The sequence below is a fragment of the Homo sapiens genome, chromosome 17, assembly GCF_000001405.40.
Source record: "Homo sapiens chromosome 17, GRCh38.p14 Primary Assembly".
Classification (NCBI taxonomy): Eukaryota; Metazoa; Chordata; class Mammalia; order Primates; family Hominidae; genus Homo; species Homo sapiens.
Genome location: NC_000017.11, coordinates 67,444,530 through 67,460,517, shown reverse-complemented (window position 1 = coordinate 67,460,517; position 15,988 = coordinate 67,444,530). Strand labels below are relative to the sequence as shown.

Genomic DNA, 15,988 nt, shown 5'->3' with positions numbered 1-15,988 from the left:
CGAGAGACAGAGGTTGCAGTGACCTGAGATCGGGCCACTGCTCTCCAGCCTGGCTGACAGAGTGAGACTCTGTTTCAAAAAAAAAAAACAAGAAAATTTTGGTCACACTGATGGGGAGTCTGGGAGCTAATGCCATCCACGAAAGAATCCTGCCTCCTGCAGCAAGGGGTCAACTAGGGAGTTCCGAGCCCTGGAACACAGTTGAAGGCTAAACCCTGCAGCGGAGTGAGTGCCCGCGCTGGGAGAACACCCTGATGCCTTAAACTGCTTAGCCACCTCTAAGGAACAATGGCAATCCAGGGGCTGACACGGAAGGCATGGAAAATCAATGAGCACTCACTTTGACAAACAATTCTGGGTGCAGAATACCTGCCACAGGTTATAAATCACTTCATTTAAGTTTATCTTTTCAGCAGTGCACAGTGGATTACACCCATACATCACTTCAACCCCTTTTCTGCCCTGTTGACAAAGGACAAATTGAGAAGGATGGTGGGAAAGCTGGGAGAAAGAAACGAGAGAGATAGAAGAGCTCTGTTACTGGGCTGAGGCAGTAAAAGGAATACTTGTGATGATAAAGTAATTATTATTTTTTGTTTTCTAAGCTGCTGGTTCCATTTGTAAAAATCTTACAGGTCTGTCTGGATTTACCAATGAAGTTACCATGGGTTGGAAATAAAGGTAGCTATTTTTTCTAAACCCCTCAGGACATACTATATACCTACCGTCTCAACAAGATCTCGAAATCTTCGCTTTTCTGATAACGGGTAAGTTTATGGGCTTCACTGATGACACAGCATAGAAAGTGATGCCCGGAGAACCTTGATGTCCAGAACTCAATGTGGTAAATGGGATTCCTGGTTCAGAAATATGGCAACAAATTAAGATAACGTAGGGGCGGAATCTCCCACCACAAACACCTAGGAATGCTGGGTAAAATATAACCCCAGGAAGAAAGGGAAAAACAGAGTGAAAGTGTGTGAGCTAATTCTGGGATTGTTCTAGTAACTTCCAGACTTACAATTTAAAACCCAAGTGGACAAAGGAGGTGAAACCATGAGTCACCATGAAGCAGAGAGTTGGAACTAAAACCCCAAAGAGGCTGGGCACGGTGGCTCACGCCTGTAATCCCAACACTTTGGGAGGCCTAGGCGGGGCGGATCACCTGAGGTCAGGAGTTCAAGACCAGCCTGGCCAACATGGTGAAACCCCTTCTCTACTAAAAATACAAAATTAGCTGGATGTGGTGGCCCACACCTGTAATCCCAGCTACTCGGGAGGCTGAGGCAGGAGAATCGCTTGAACCTGGCAGGCGGAGGATGCAGTGAGCCAAGATCAAGCCATTGCACTCCAGCCTGGGCGACAAGAGCAAAACTCAGTCTCAAAAAAAAAAAAAAAAAAAAAGAAAAAGAAAAAAAAAAGCCCCAAAGAGAGTTAGGATCTTCAAAGAAATACTTCCCAGTGAAAAGAAAGACTAGGGGGAAAAATCATCCCCTGGTACAGGGGTCTAGGAGAACAATTTTGTGTTCTTGGGTTCTAAGTGAAAAAAACCTCTCCCCTGAAAAATGGATATCCCAAACCTGAGCCTTAAGCGGGGTGATCCAGGCCGTTCTAAACTAAGAAATTAACAGAAATATTGGCCCCAAGGCAGTGACACTCCTGAGATCTCTAGAAGAAGCAATGCAAATTGTTCTGAGCAATGCTAATTGTTCTGAAGGAGCCTCACTATCAGACCATGTAAGATTCCCACGGAAAAAAAATAACCCCCACTAAAGGTTAGTTTAGAGGAAAATTAAAAATTAGAATACACCATAAGCAGAAAACAGCAAATACAACAAACAAGATTATTAGAGCTCCAGGGAACTTGGAATGATAAAACTACAATTTGAAAGAGGGAGTACAATGTAAGTGTGCTTTAGACTGTTAAAGACAAAAAATGAGAAACTAAAACCCTGAGAAGAATATACTGGGAAAAAAGTAAGAGTCAGATGTGAAAACAAGCCAAATGGTACTTTTAGAAATAAATATTATAATTTTAAAATGCAATAGATAGATTAAATAGTAGATTAGACAGAAATGAAGAGAGAATTCAGTAAAATGGAAGACAGATCTGAGGAAATTACCCAAAGAGCATTAGAGAGGTCAATGAGGCATAAAAGAATAACTAAGGGCATAGAGAGCACAATGAGAAGGTCCATATGCATCTAATACAAGATTCAGATGATGAAAACAGAGATACGGTGTTAGTTTGGGTCCTCCAAGAAGCAGATGCTGAGACGAGATGTTGGGAAAAACACCTGTGAAGGAAAAAGAGGAGGAAGCAGGAGGAGGCAGGGAGAGCCTTCAGACCATGGTGTAGGTATGATGGAGAGAGAAGAAAGGAGTACTGGGTAGGAAGAGACTCAGAGTGAGACGCAGATGTAAGAAAGTTTGGTCACACTGATGGGGAGTCCAGGAGCCAATGTCATCCATGAAAGGATCCTACCTCCTGCAGCAGTGGGCCAGCACTGGTACCCCTGTCATATTCTGCCATCAGCTGGGAGCAGCCCAGGAGAAGCGTGAGTGAATCTGAGACATGGCCTCTGGGGCTCAGTCAACTATGCTTCCTCCAGCAAGACAACCGAGCAGCATGATTTTATGGCTGCCCCAGTGAAGGAGAAGCAACATTTTAAAAGATAATAGTTAAGGACTTACCAGAATTGTAAAAGTCATGAATTCTCCGTGTAAAGAATACCAAGTTCTAAGCAGAATAAATAAAAATGAATCCATGCACACAGGACTGAGGCTCCAGAATTTCAAAGACAAAGAGGAAGCCTAAAGAACAGCCAGATAGCCAGCGTGGTGGCTCCTGCCTGTAATCGCAGCACTTTAGGAGGCCCAGGCGGGCGGATCATGAGGTCAGGAGATCAAGACCATCCTGGCTAACACGGTGAAACCCCGTCTCTACTAAAAATACAAAAAAAATTAGCTGGGCCTGGTGGCAGGCGCCTGTAGTCCCAGCTACACGGGAGGCTGAGGCAGAAGAATGGCTTGAACCTGGGAGGCGGAGCTTGCAGTGAGCCAAGATTGCACCACTGCACTCCAGCATGGGCCGAATGAGCGAGACTCCGTCTCAAAAAACAAAAAACAAAAAACAAAAAACAAAAAACAGCCAGAGAGATATGGCAGATTACCTACAAAGGAAGAGCAATCAGACAGAAGACTTCTCAGTAACAAATGAGAGCTGAGCAGGGTTTGGCGGCACGAGACTATAGTCCCAGCAACTTCAGAGGCTGAGGAGGGAGGATCGTTTCAGCTCAGGAGGTCTGGGCTGTAGTGCACTATTCCAAACAGGTATCCACACTAGGTTTGGCATCAATATGGTGATCTCCCAGGATCAGGGGACCACCAGGCTGCCTAAGGAGGGGTGAAGTGATAGCCCAAGTCAAAACTCCTGTGCTGATCAGTAGTGGCCACTGCACTCCAGCCTGGCCAACATAGTGAGACCCCATTTCCAAATAAATAAGAAAAAAGAGGGTTGAGAAGTTGAGAAAACAAATGAGGAAAAGAAAAGTTGAGAAGACAAAGAAATACTATCTTCAGAGGGTTGAGGGGAGATTCTATACTAAGCTAAAAGAGAGTCATTGAAAGATGAGGACAAAGAAGCTGTTTTTAAACAAGAACTAAGTACATTCACAGGCTCTTACTAAAATGCACTAAAGTATATATTTTCAGAAAATAAAATGTGTACATAAAAGAGTACTTAGAAAGACGAGTAAAGACCCTAGTAAATAAAAATATATACAGTTTGGGCTGCACAAAACAACAAAAATAACAGTGAATAAAATACAAAATACAATAAAATACCAAAAAAGGAGAAATTAAAACACTAAATAAGAAAAAAACTGGGTGGGGGAGGTGATAGGGTAATTTCTGACTGCTATTTAAGTATACACATTGAATATTTTTAGGATAACAAAGCTAGTAGAGAGAAAAAGAGAAAACCTGGTAAAACTCAATTCAGTAGGAGACAGGAAATGGAGAAAAAACAGAAAAAGTATGGGAAATAGAAAGCATGAAATAAGACAAATAATTCAAAAAACATCAACAATTGCTATAAATGCAAACAGACTGAAATAGCTGGTTAAAAAACAGGTTATTAATAGCTGGTTTAAAAACCCAGACTCGAGATTTTTTTCTTAATTTAGCTATAAGCTATTTACAAGAGGCCCATCTAAAATACAACAACATACAAAACTTAAAAGTAGAGACATTAGAAAACATGTACCAGACAGAAACTGACCAAAAAGGGGAAGAAGACTGGAAGGGCTATATTAATATCAGTAAAAGCCTAAGGTAAAAGCATCATTAGGATCAACTGGTTCTTTACAGCCCACTTACTGGTTCTTAAGAATTAGACAAGTTACTTAAAGTTTTTGAGCCAGTTTCCTCACTTGTAAAATGGGATGATAATAATAGACTTGTTTTTGAATCTGGAATGTGTTTTTTAAAAGTAACAAATGCAAATACAGCAAAATGTTAACACCGATTTAATCTTTCTGCTGGGTACATAAGTGTACGTTTCATTATTATCTGTACATGTTTTATATATTTGAATTGTTTTTAAAATAAGAATGTTTTAATTTTTTAAGTTCACAAACCCAGTAACCAAGTAAAAATATAAGAGGGGCATTGAAACAACAGTGCTCCATACATCATCTGGGAATGACTAACTATACAACTTTCCTAGGAGACAACTTTGCAAGATACACCAAAGCTTTAAAAATGTAGATACCCAGCTGGGAGCGGTGGCTCACGTCTGTAATCCCAGCATTTTGGAAGGCCGAGGCAGGTGGATCACTTGAGGTCAGCAGTTCGAGACCAGTCTGGCCAACATGGTGAAACCCCATCTCTACTAAAAATACAAAAAAAACAAAAAAAAACAAAAAAAACTAGCTGGGCATGGTGGTGCGCACCTGTAACCTCAGCTACTCTGGCGCTGAGGCAGGAGAATCGCTTGAACCCAGGAGTCGGAAGTTGCAGTGAGCCGGGATTGCATCACTGCACTCCAGAGCGAGAGTCTGTCTCAAAATAAATAAATAAATAAAAATGTAGATACCCTGTCACCCAGTGATTAAATTTTGTAATTTATCCCAAGGAATGAATCAAGAGATGTGTATAAGCATGTATGTACCAGGTTATTGCTGAGTTCAGTCTAATGGTGAAAAATTCAAAACAGCATTAATGTTGTTGGAAATTGCTTTAGTAAATTTTAACACAGTATAACAGAATAGTATGTGGCCATTAAAATTCAGGTTATAGAAGAATATTAATGACAAGCATTGCATATTAATAGGTGAAAAAGATACAAAGCAGTATGCATAGTATGGGCTTGGGTTTTACTTTGAAATATGTGTAGGCTGGGTACAGAGGCTCACACCTGTTAACCCAGCACTTTGGAAAGCCAAAGCAGGAGGATCACTTGAGCTCAGGAGTTCAAGACCAGCCTGGGCAACATAGCAAGACCCCATCTCTACAAAAAATAATAAAAATTAGCCAGGCCTGGTGGCATGCAGCTGTAGTCCCAGCTACTCAGGGGGCTGAAGTGGGAGGATTGCTTGAGCCCTGGAGGTGGAGGCTGCAGTGAGCTGTGATTGCACCAGTGCACTCCAGCCTGGGTGACACAGTGAGACCCTGACTCAAAAAAAAAAAAAAAAAGGAAAATAAAAAATAATGAAATATGTGTATTATGTACACAATTGTCTGGAAGGCTATGGGGCAACATACTACTCATGAAACGTCTCTGGATGGTGGAGATTCTGAATGGCTTTTGTTTTATTGTGCTTTTTTGTGTTTTCCAAGTTTTCTGCAGTGAACATATGGTGCTTTGCAATTAGGAAAAAAGCAATCATCGTTTCTAAAGTAAACGGCAATAATTCAAGTTCATACTCCAATGCAGGGTCCACAAACTATATCCTGCAGGCCCTGCCACCCGTTTTCATACTGCCCATGACTTAAGAATGGTTTTACATTTTTAAATGGTTGAAAAAAAATCAAAAGAAGAATAAAAAGTATAATATGTCATTCTAAATCTTTGTGTTTAATCTATACAGCAACTCTGTGAAATAGGTACTATTATTCATTTTATAGATCAGGAAACCAAAGCTTTTAGATGGGTTATGTAAGTAGTGAAAGATCACATAGTTAATAAGTTGTTGAGCTGGAATTCAGACCCCAGAGTCTTACCCTAGAGCCTGTCCTCTTTTGGGTTTTGTTTTTTTTTTTTTGAGAACGGAGTCTTGCTCTGTGTCCCAGGCTATAGTGCAGTGGCACAATCTTGGCTCACTGCAACCTCTGCCTCCCGTGTTCAAGCGATTCTCCTGCCTCAGCCTCCCAAGTAGCTGGGATTACAGGTGCCCGCCACCAGGCCCAGGTAATTTTTGTATTTTTAGTAGAGACGGGGTTTCACCATGTTGGCCAGGGTGGTCTCCAACTCCTGACCTCAGGCGATCTGCCCGCCTTGGCCTCCCAAAATGCTGGCGATTACCGACGTGAGCCACCACGCCCAGCCCGAGCCTGTACTCTTAATGTGCTTCCCCCATGTGAAAAGTTCCCCAACAAATCAAGGGCAAATCAAGCCAGTACATTCTGGTGAATTCTCAGGAGGGAAGACCACTGCATATCAGAGAAGCTTTGTAGAAGAATGAGGCCACATTTCTACCATGATGATAGGAAACATTAACTCTGAACTTCCAATTAAGCAAAATGTTTTCCTCCCTCAAATAATTCAATTCTTCTCATTAGCAGACTTGTGTTACAGAAAATCGTACCCCATTACTATGTTTGGAGTTTCATCGATAAAAATTCATGGAAATTTGTTTTGTCTGTCGTTATGTAAGCACCTCCACAACGTCGCTGATGTTTTCTCTTGGCCCACAAAGCCTGACATATTTGTTTACTCTCTTTACAGAAAATGTTTGCAGACCCCTGCTCTAATTAACACAAAGAAAGAGGGCAGAGGGGAGTGGCAGGCGGTCACGGTATTGATGAGAATAATTCCCCACACCTGGAACTACAGAGTAGCCAATAACCCAGCTGGTTCTCTCCCAAGCTGCTCCACAAGCTCTTAGTCATTTCGAGATTGAGTTTCTTTCCTCCTCCTGCTCTGTCTATATTTTCTCCATTACCTCTCACCAAGGGGTAAGCAAAGCAAAGGAAAAAAAAGTAAAACTTAGTTCACTCAAGTTTAATACTACTTAGAAACTGACAAAAGGGAAGAGATTTGACTGGTACCTCATCTTTTGAGTTGATTCACCACTGTTTTCTGTTACCTAAAATATTTGAAAATTGGCCACTCCTACAAAGTATCAGTTTGCTCATTCACTCAACAAACCCTAAGCATTTTCCATGTACCCTGCCCCCGGACACAATACTGGATCAATCAGCTAGACAGAGTAGCTCACAGGTGAGCAGAAGCTTTATATATATAACAGCACAACACAACATGTTCTATAATGGAAAGCAGTTTTAAAAGAGTACAGGAAATGCAAAGTAAAACCACAGTGAGATACCACCACACACTCATTAGAATCGCTACAAACAAAAGACGGATAATACCAAGTACTGACAAGGATGTGGCAAACCCAAAACGCTCATATGTTGCTAGTGAGAGTAAAAAAATGCAAGAACTACTTTGGAAAACAGCCTGGCAATTTCTTTATAAGTTAAACATAAGTTTAATATAAGACCCAGTGGCCAGGCCCAGTGGCTCACGCCTGTAATCACAACACTTTGGGAGGCCGAGGTGGGTGGATCATGAGGAGTTCGTGACCATCCTGGCCAACATGGTGAAACCCTGTCTCTACTAAAAATACAAAAATTAGCTGGGCGTGGTGGCGCACGCCTGTAGTCCCAGCTACTTGGGAGGCTGAGGCAGGTGAATCACTTGAACCCAGGAGGAGGAGGTTGCAGTGACTCCAGCCTGGCGACAGAGTGAGACTCCATCTCAAAAAAAAAAAAAAACCCCAGCAATTCCACTCCTTAAAGTATCTTCCCAAGAGGAACGAAAGCACATGTCCATCCAAGAATTGTATACAAATGATCACAGCAGCAATATTCACAGTAGCCCCGAATTAGAAACAAATCTCTATCAACTGGTGATGAATAAACAAAATGTGGTACATCCCTATAATGGAATGCTATTAGCAGTAAAACAAGAACCAGCTATTGGCCAGGCATGATGGCTCCCGCCTGTAGTCCCAGCACTTTGGGAGGCTGAGGCAGGCAGACTGCTTGAGCTCAGGAGTTCGAGACTAGCCTGGGAAACATAGTGAGACCCCCGTCTATACAAAACAAAAATACAAAAATTAGCCAGGTGTGGTGGCATGTGCCTGTAGTCCCAGCTACTCAGGAGGATGACGTTGGGAGGATCACTTGAGCCCAGGAGGTGGAGGCTGCAGTGAACTGTGATTGCACTCTAGCCTGGGTGATCACAGTGAGACCCTATCTCAAAAAACAACAACAAAAAAAAAACCCAACCACTGATGCATTCAACAACACGAATGAACTCAAAAACTTTATGTTGAGTAAAAGAAGCCAGTCTCGGCCAGGCGTGGTGGCTCAGGCCTGTAATCCCAGCACTTTGGGAGGCCGAGGTGTGCGGATCACGAGGTCAGGAGATTGAGACCATCCTGGCTAGCATGGTGAAACTCCATCTCTACTAAAAATACAAAAATTAGCCAGGCGTGATGTGGGCACCTGTAGTGCCCGCTACCCTGGAGGCTGAGGCAGGAGAATGGCATGAACCCGGGAGGCGGAGATTGCAGTGAGCCGAGATCGCGCCACTGCACTCCAGCCTGGGCGACAGAGCGAGACTCTGTCTCAAAAAAAAACAAAACAAAAAAAAAAAAGGTCAGTCTCAAAGGACTACATGTTGTATAATTTTTATACGAAATTACTAGAAAAGACAAAACTATAGAGACGTAAATCACATCACTAGTTGCCGGGGATCAGGGTAAGAGCAAGAACTGACCACAAACAGGCAAGGAGGATGTTTAGGGGGGAATGGAAAGTTCTAAAACTGGACTGCGGTGATGGCTGCACAGATGTATGGATTTACTAAAACTTAAGAGCTTTTGTTGTTTTACTGAAACTTATTCATTTTACACTTAAGATAGGTGAGTTTATCATGTGCAAAAAAGAATTTTTAGCCAGGCACGGTGGCTCACACCTGTAATCTTAGCAGTCTGGGAGGCCAAGGTGGGTGGATCACCTGAGGTCAGGAGATCGAGACCAGCCTGGTCAACATGGCAAAACCCCGTCTCTACTAAAAATACAAATATTAGCTGGGTGTGATGGCGCGCGCGTGTAGTCCCAGCTACTCAGGAGGCTGAGGCAGGAGAATTGCTTGAACCCAGGAGGCGGAAGTTGCAGTGAGCCAAGATCGTGCCACTGCACTCCAGCCTGAGTGACAAGAGTGAAACTCTGTCTCAAAAAAAGGAAAAGAAATTAGATTCTGATATGGGCTACAGCTGAACCTTGAAAACATGCTAAGAAAAAGACGCCAGATACAGAAGAACACATAATATTGATTCTACTTTTATGAGGTACCTAGAATAGGCCAATTCATAGAGGCAGAACATAGGATAAAGGTTACCAGAGGGTGGGGGAAGGGGACATTGGGGAGTTAGTGTTTAATGGGTGGAATTTCTATTTGGAATGATGAAAAAGTTCTGAAAGTGAACAGTGATGATGGTTGCCCAGCATTGTGAAAATACTTAATGCCACTAAATTGTACAATTTACAATGCTTAAAATGGGCCGAGCATGGTGGCTCACACCTTCCCAGCACTCTGGGAGTCTGATGCGGGTGGATCACTTGAGCCCAGGAATTTGAGACCAGCCTGGGCAACACAGCGAAAATCTCGTCTCTACTAAAACTACAACAAATTAGTGGGCACGGTGGTGTGCGCCTGTAGTCCCAGCTACTCGAGAGGCTGAGGTGGGAGGATCGCTTGAGCCGGAGAGGGTGAGGCTGCAGTGAATTGTGATCACACCACTGCACTCCAGCCTGGGTGACAGAGCAAGGCTTCGTCTTCAAAAAAAAGAAACTTAAAATGGTAAATTTTTATCTTATACGTATTTTACTACAGCTTTTTTTTTTTTAACGAAGTCTCCCGTGCACCTTCAGGAGGAAGAGGGGCCTGTGACTTGCCTGTGGGCTCACTTTCAGGTGGCTATTTCTTCATCAGTTGAGTTCTTAACTGTCTCTAATTGATAGCAATTGAAGAAAACGCAGTTTGCATTCACACAGCCCATTGTCCAAATGCCTAAAGACATTAATTTGAAAAATACTGCAAGATTCATGAAACTGATTCTAAATTTACTTCTAAATCATAAGAGCAAACCTGAAATGTGGTTTTAATTGGGTTTACAGGAAGTATAAGTGTTGTTTATGTGACTTGTTCTTCTGTTTAACTGTTGGTAATCACTGGCTACTGCGCTTATCTCATTGCCAGACAGACAAGCAGTTAAGTAATTAAAATATTCAAAATCTGGCTCAGTGGCTCACCCCTGTAATTCCAACATTTTGGGAGGCCAAGGCAGAAGGATCGCTTGAGGCCAAGAGTTCAAGACCAGCCTGAGCAACATAGTGAGACCCCCATCTCTGCAAAAAGAATTTTTTTAAAATCTGAGCTAACAGAAAAAGAGTTTGTTTCCAATGCTTTCATTTTAACACTAACTGTGATAGAGGCATCAAAGAATTAACCTTTTAAAAGATAAATTAGCTTTCGTATTTGACTGTTTGGACAGCTAGCTGTATATGACAACTTTTTGTCCTTTTTCTCCACCCCAAAACAGAGAAACTTGTTGAGTTTCAATTCTCCGAGATGTCTAGATTCTAACGTTGAAGTTCTCATACAAGCAAAACCTCCCAGCAATGGTACATGTCTTGTCAAGGTAAAGACAGAAGATTTTTTTCTTTGCTATCTGTCAAGAAAATAAAAGGGTGTGCCTATTACTTTAAGTAACATTTTCTTTTTCCTTTAATGAAAAGTGTTATGCTTATTCCAGTGGCAGTTTAACAAGGAATCTCGGGTCGTCAGCAAGGCTTCAAAATAGGTGATTAGAACACTACAGGCTGATAGACTCCAAATTAAATTGACAATACCCAATCTAAGCTTCAAAAGATGTGTGTATCGGCACCACCATCAAAAGCAATTCTCTGAGTCACGTTTAACTTCTCCCAAACTCTGAGCCTTTCCAACTAGAACACGGAAAAGGAAAGAAATGCAAGATAAGGCACTTTGCTGTGTCACTCCTTAGAAAGTCAGAGAAAATTAAATAAGTACAACCAAATGGATTTATTGCTTGGGTGACGATCTTCAAGTGACAGGGAAAAAGAATAAGAAAATAAAAATGTTAGCACTGAATAAGGAGCAGAACAATAAATACTTAGAAGATCAATGTACCTGGCTGAGCATGCTGGCTCATGCCTATAATCCCAGCATTTTGGGAGGCCGAGGCGGGAGGATTGCCTGAGGTCAGGAGTTCGAGAGCAGTTCGGCCAACATGGCAAAACCCCGTCTCTATTAAAAATACAAAAATTAGCCAGGCATGGTTGCATGCAACTGTTATCCCAGCTACTGGGGAGGCTGAGGCAGGAGAACCACTTGAACCCGGGAGGCGGAGGAGATCGTGCCACTGCACTCCAGCCTGGGTGACAGAGCAAGACCCCATCTCAAACAAACAAACAAATAAACAAGAAAGATTGATGTACCTGCCTCTCCAGCCTAGTAAGTATGGCCTAGGTAAGTATGGTGATTTTGACTGTGGAAGGTGAGAAAGAACTTTGCACCAGAAGATAAGAGCCCACAGGAAAGACTGGAAGCACTGGACTCTGACAGAAGAGAATGGTCCAGTGGTTCTAGAGGGGTTCTAGAGAATGGTCCAGTGGAGCGGAGAAACGGAGGTGAGATTAATCAAGGTAGAGACCAAGATAAAGCATGAAGCACCCCCAACGGCAGGTTCATGAACGAGGACCACCAAGCGGTTTTCTAGGCTGCAGCTACATGCCAGCGAAGAAGTCTCTGCACCCTCTCCTGCAAGTCAGGGAAGCTGCCCCAGTTCTCAGAGCACCTGGTTCCAGGTGATCAAATCACTTTCCTCTGGGTAGAAGAACCCCCACATCCACACACTCAGTGACACATAAAGACTGTGACCAAAAGCAAATGAAAACACCTAAATTAAGCCCCCAAAATCATTTAAAATAAGGCTTTATAGAAAAGTCATGCAGCCGGGCGCAGTGGCTCATGCCTGTAATCCCAGCACTTTGGGAGGCCAAGGCGGGCGGATCACCTGAGGTCAGAAGTTCGACACCAGCCTGACCAGCATGGAGAAACCCCTGTCTCTACTAAAAATACCAACATTAGCCTGGTGTGGTGGTGTGCGCCTTTAATCCCAGCTACTCCGGAGGCTGAAGCAGGAGAATCGCTGGAACCTGGGAGGTGGAGGTTGCAGTAAGCTGAGATCGCACCACTGCACTCCAGCCTGGGCGACAGAGCAAGACCCCATCTGAAAGAAAGAAAGAAGGAAGGAAGGAAGGAGAAAGAAAGAGAGAGACAGAGAGAGAAAGAAAGAAAGAAAGAGATAGCTGGGATCCCAGAGACAGAGAGAGAAAGAAAGAAAGAAAGAGATAGCTGGGATCCCAGGTAAAAATTTCAGGAAATAAACACCTTCAAAGCAGGGGTTTGTCCCTTCATAGTATCAAAGACAACAAAACAGGCTTCCACCATTCCAAGGACTGTCGCGTAAGACCTCTGCTGACTCCAAGCAGGGATGGCACCATGTCCGAGGCACCAAAAAAGAGACCCAGGATGGGCGTGGTGGCTCAGGCCTGAAATCCCAGCACTTTGGGAGTCTGAGGTGGGAGGATCACTTGGGCCCAGGAGTTTGAGAACAGCCTGGGCAAGATGGTGAGACCCCTGCCTCTACAAAAAAATTTTAAAATTATCTGGGCGTGGTGGTACATGCCTGTAGTCAGCTATAATTGTACCACTGCACTCCAGCCTGGGAGACTCCATTAAAAAAGAGAGAGAGACCCGGAGCTAGTGAGGGAGACAGGGTTTATTGAGGACTTACATAAGGGGCATTCCAGGGGCAGCAGGCTGGACAGGAGAACCACTGCTGTTTGTACTAAGCATGCAGTTTATATTGTGTTTTTCACTTAGCACCCTCCCACCTAGCAACCTCCATTTAACCCAAAGCAAAGGGCCTCCATCCCCTAGGTGGCCTGCATTCCAAGGAACGAGCTAGGGGTTCGGATGTCTGTCATAGATAAGGAGTGAATCTCCAGGTTGGCCACTCTCCGATTCCTTAGCTTGGAAGTCCAAACACACATTCTTCTTAGATCCTAGGGTCATTCTTTTTTTTTTTTTTTTTTTTTTTTTTTGAGACAGAGTCTCACTCTATGGCCCAGGCTGGAGTGCAGTGGCACAATCTTGGCTTACTGCAACCTCCACCTCCTGGGTTCAAGCGATTCTCCTGCCTCAGCCTCCCCAGTAGCTGCGATTACAGGTGCCCGCCACCATACTTGGCTAATTTTTGTATTTTTAGTAGAGATGGGGTTTCACCATGTTGCCCAAGCTGGTCTCAAAGTCCTGACCTCAAGTAATCCACCCACCTCGGCCTCCCAAAGTGCTGGGATTACAGGCGTGAGCCACCACGCCTGGCCAACCTTAGGGTCATTCTTAGGATGTGCTTCGGTTATGGCTGTCAGGTGCATCTGCCATACAAGGCCCCAGATCCACCATTCAAAAACCCACCATTCAATGGACCCAGAGAGGCTTATTCTGCTGGGGACTTGGGGTGCAGGAGTTTTGAAACCTGCACAAATAGTCAACCCTCCCTTTACAAACACTAAAGTATCTCTCTTTGTCCTCCTAAGAGATTCTGGGATGGCAAGACAACAATAGGCTCACTCTGTTCTATTTCTCGTAGCATAAATTAAAAAAAAAAAAACCTTAATGAGGAAAGAAATTATTTTTGTACCATACTCCTAATGCTCAATGTCTGTGGGTTATCCTGGTGAAGCTGGCATATTCTTTTATTTTCCTTTTTTTTTTTCTGAAAACAGAAGAATTTCTTCCTTCTTTAGGCAGAAAGGACTGCAGCAAAAGAATCGGTTGTACCTTAATTTTAGAAAGTCCTGAAGAGGCAGGTCAAGAAACCAATACGGAGCACACTACCACTTGTGACCTCAGGACATGCGCACACAGAGAAGAATCAGTCAAAGAAGGCTGGGTGTGGTGGCTCACGCCTGTAATCCTAGCACTTTGGGAGGCCGAGGCGGGTGGATCATGAAGTCAAGAGATCGAGACCATCCTGGCCAACATGGTGAAACCCCGTCTGTACCAAAAATACAAAAATTAGCTGGGCATGGTGGCGCACGCCTGTAATCCCAGCTACTTGGGAGGCTGAGGCAGGAGAATTGCCTGAACCCGGGAGGCAGAGGTTGCAGTGAGCCGAGATTGTGCCACTGCACTCCAGCCTGGGCGACAGAGTGAGATTCTGTCTCAAAAAAAACCAAAAAAAATACAAAAAAAACAGCCAAAGATACCTAGAGTCTGATTGGAACTTCTGGAGCAATTTAAGCCCTATGCTCCAAATGCCTAAAGAATGGCCTCTATTTATGCACAGTTCAAAAGACCTCATTGCATCAGAAGGCAGCTTCCTGAATGAGATTGCCGCTAATTCTCTCAGCAGGAGAAATCCACTCCCATGAATAACAAAGTTTCGCTCTGTTATTCATAATAAGGATTAAACCCAGTGGGATAAAATGTACAGTTGCCAGGTCATCTTGGGGTAGGGCTGAGTATGGAAAACATGAGTTCTCATTTCTCCCCAACTAACGAATGCCTGGTAGTTGGTGCAGGTAACAGTTTCTTTAAATGCACCTGTCACAATTCCTTTTGCTACTAAAGGAGAAATTAGTTAACAAGGAAAGTACATTGAGAGACAGAACTAAAGCGCTCTACAGAAATATTACCACTGGCCTTTACTCCATGTCACAAGTGTGAATGCAACCCTTCAAAATAATACCTAGTTACTGTTGGGGCTCAGAAAGCGGTATCCCAAAATATGGCGCTTTGACATGCTGAATTGAGGAAGAAGCCTCAATGTATCTCTGATCTTCCTCCCTTTCCCATCATTTCTGTCCTCCCAAAACACAGAATAAAAGTTATTCTCTGGAGTTCCCTTATCTGCCTAACGTCTAGACCTGGCAAAAAAGAAAACAATCACCTCTGATCCATTCCCTCCCTGAGTTTTCATTAACTGAACCCATATCACAGGGCAAAACACTGAAGTCGGTCAACACACCTGGAAAGATTTTTGTCACAAACCATTGTCTGCCCAAACAGACTTTGTCCCAAGCCATTGTATGTTCTTCAAGCTCATTGAATTCCCCTAAAAATCATCTGTTACCTCCCTAAAATCATCCACACTTCCCCATCTCCTTTTCCCCTAAAAAAAACAAGACATATAAACATCTGTACCCCACTAGGATATGGGTAATCACTCTGTGTTCCTCCCTCCTCCCACAGCGCACACTAATACACTTATATACCTTGCCTTCTTTTTTTTTGAGACCGAGTCTCGCTCTGTCGCCCAGGCTGGAGTGCAGTGGTGCGATCTTGGCTCACTGCAACCTCCGCCTCCTGGGTTCAAGAGATTCTCCTGCCTCAGCCTCCCGAGTAGCTGGGATTACAGGCACATGCCACCACGCTCGGCTAATTTTTGTATTTTTAGTAGAGACAGGGTTTCACCATGTTGGCCAGGCTGATCTCGAACTCCTGACCTTGGGCGATCCTCCTGCCTCAACTTCCCAAAGTGCTGGGATTACAGGCGTGGGCCACCGCGCCTGGCCAGCCTTCTCTTCTATTAATCTGCTTTTTGTCAGTTGATTTTTCAGCAAACCTTCAGGGGACAAAGGCAAAGTTTTTTCCTTAGCC

General features: G+C 43.6%; 1 protein-coding gene and 1 pseudogene across 3 annotated transcripts in view, besides 1 other annotated feature; one reads left to right on the top strand and one right to left on the bottom strand.

Annotated features, from left to right (window-relative positions):
• PITPNC1 (phosphatidylinositol transfer protein cytoplasmic 1) overlaps positions 1–15,988 on the bottom strand; it is a 319,976-nt gene that overhangs the window by 236,739 nt on the left and 67,249 nt on the right. The gene's annotated exons all lie outside the window — the stretch shown is intronic.
• On the top strand, positions 3,228–3,495 carry RN7SL756P (RNA, 7SL, cytoplasmic 756, pseudogene; annotated as a pseudogene).
• Positions 14,440–14,998: an enhancer, noted in NCBI's record as "OCT4-NANOG hESC enhancer chr17:65441636-65442194 (GRCh37/hg19 assembly coordinates)". NCBI's record gives its function as "activates a minimal SCP1, AML or CMV promoter by ChIP-STARR-seq in naive H9 embryonic stem cells {active_cell/tissue: H9 hESC(naive)}" and the evidence as "EXISTENCE:reporter gene assay evidence [ECO:0000049][PMID:30033119]".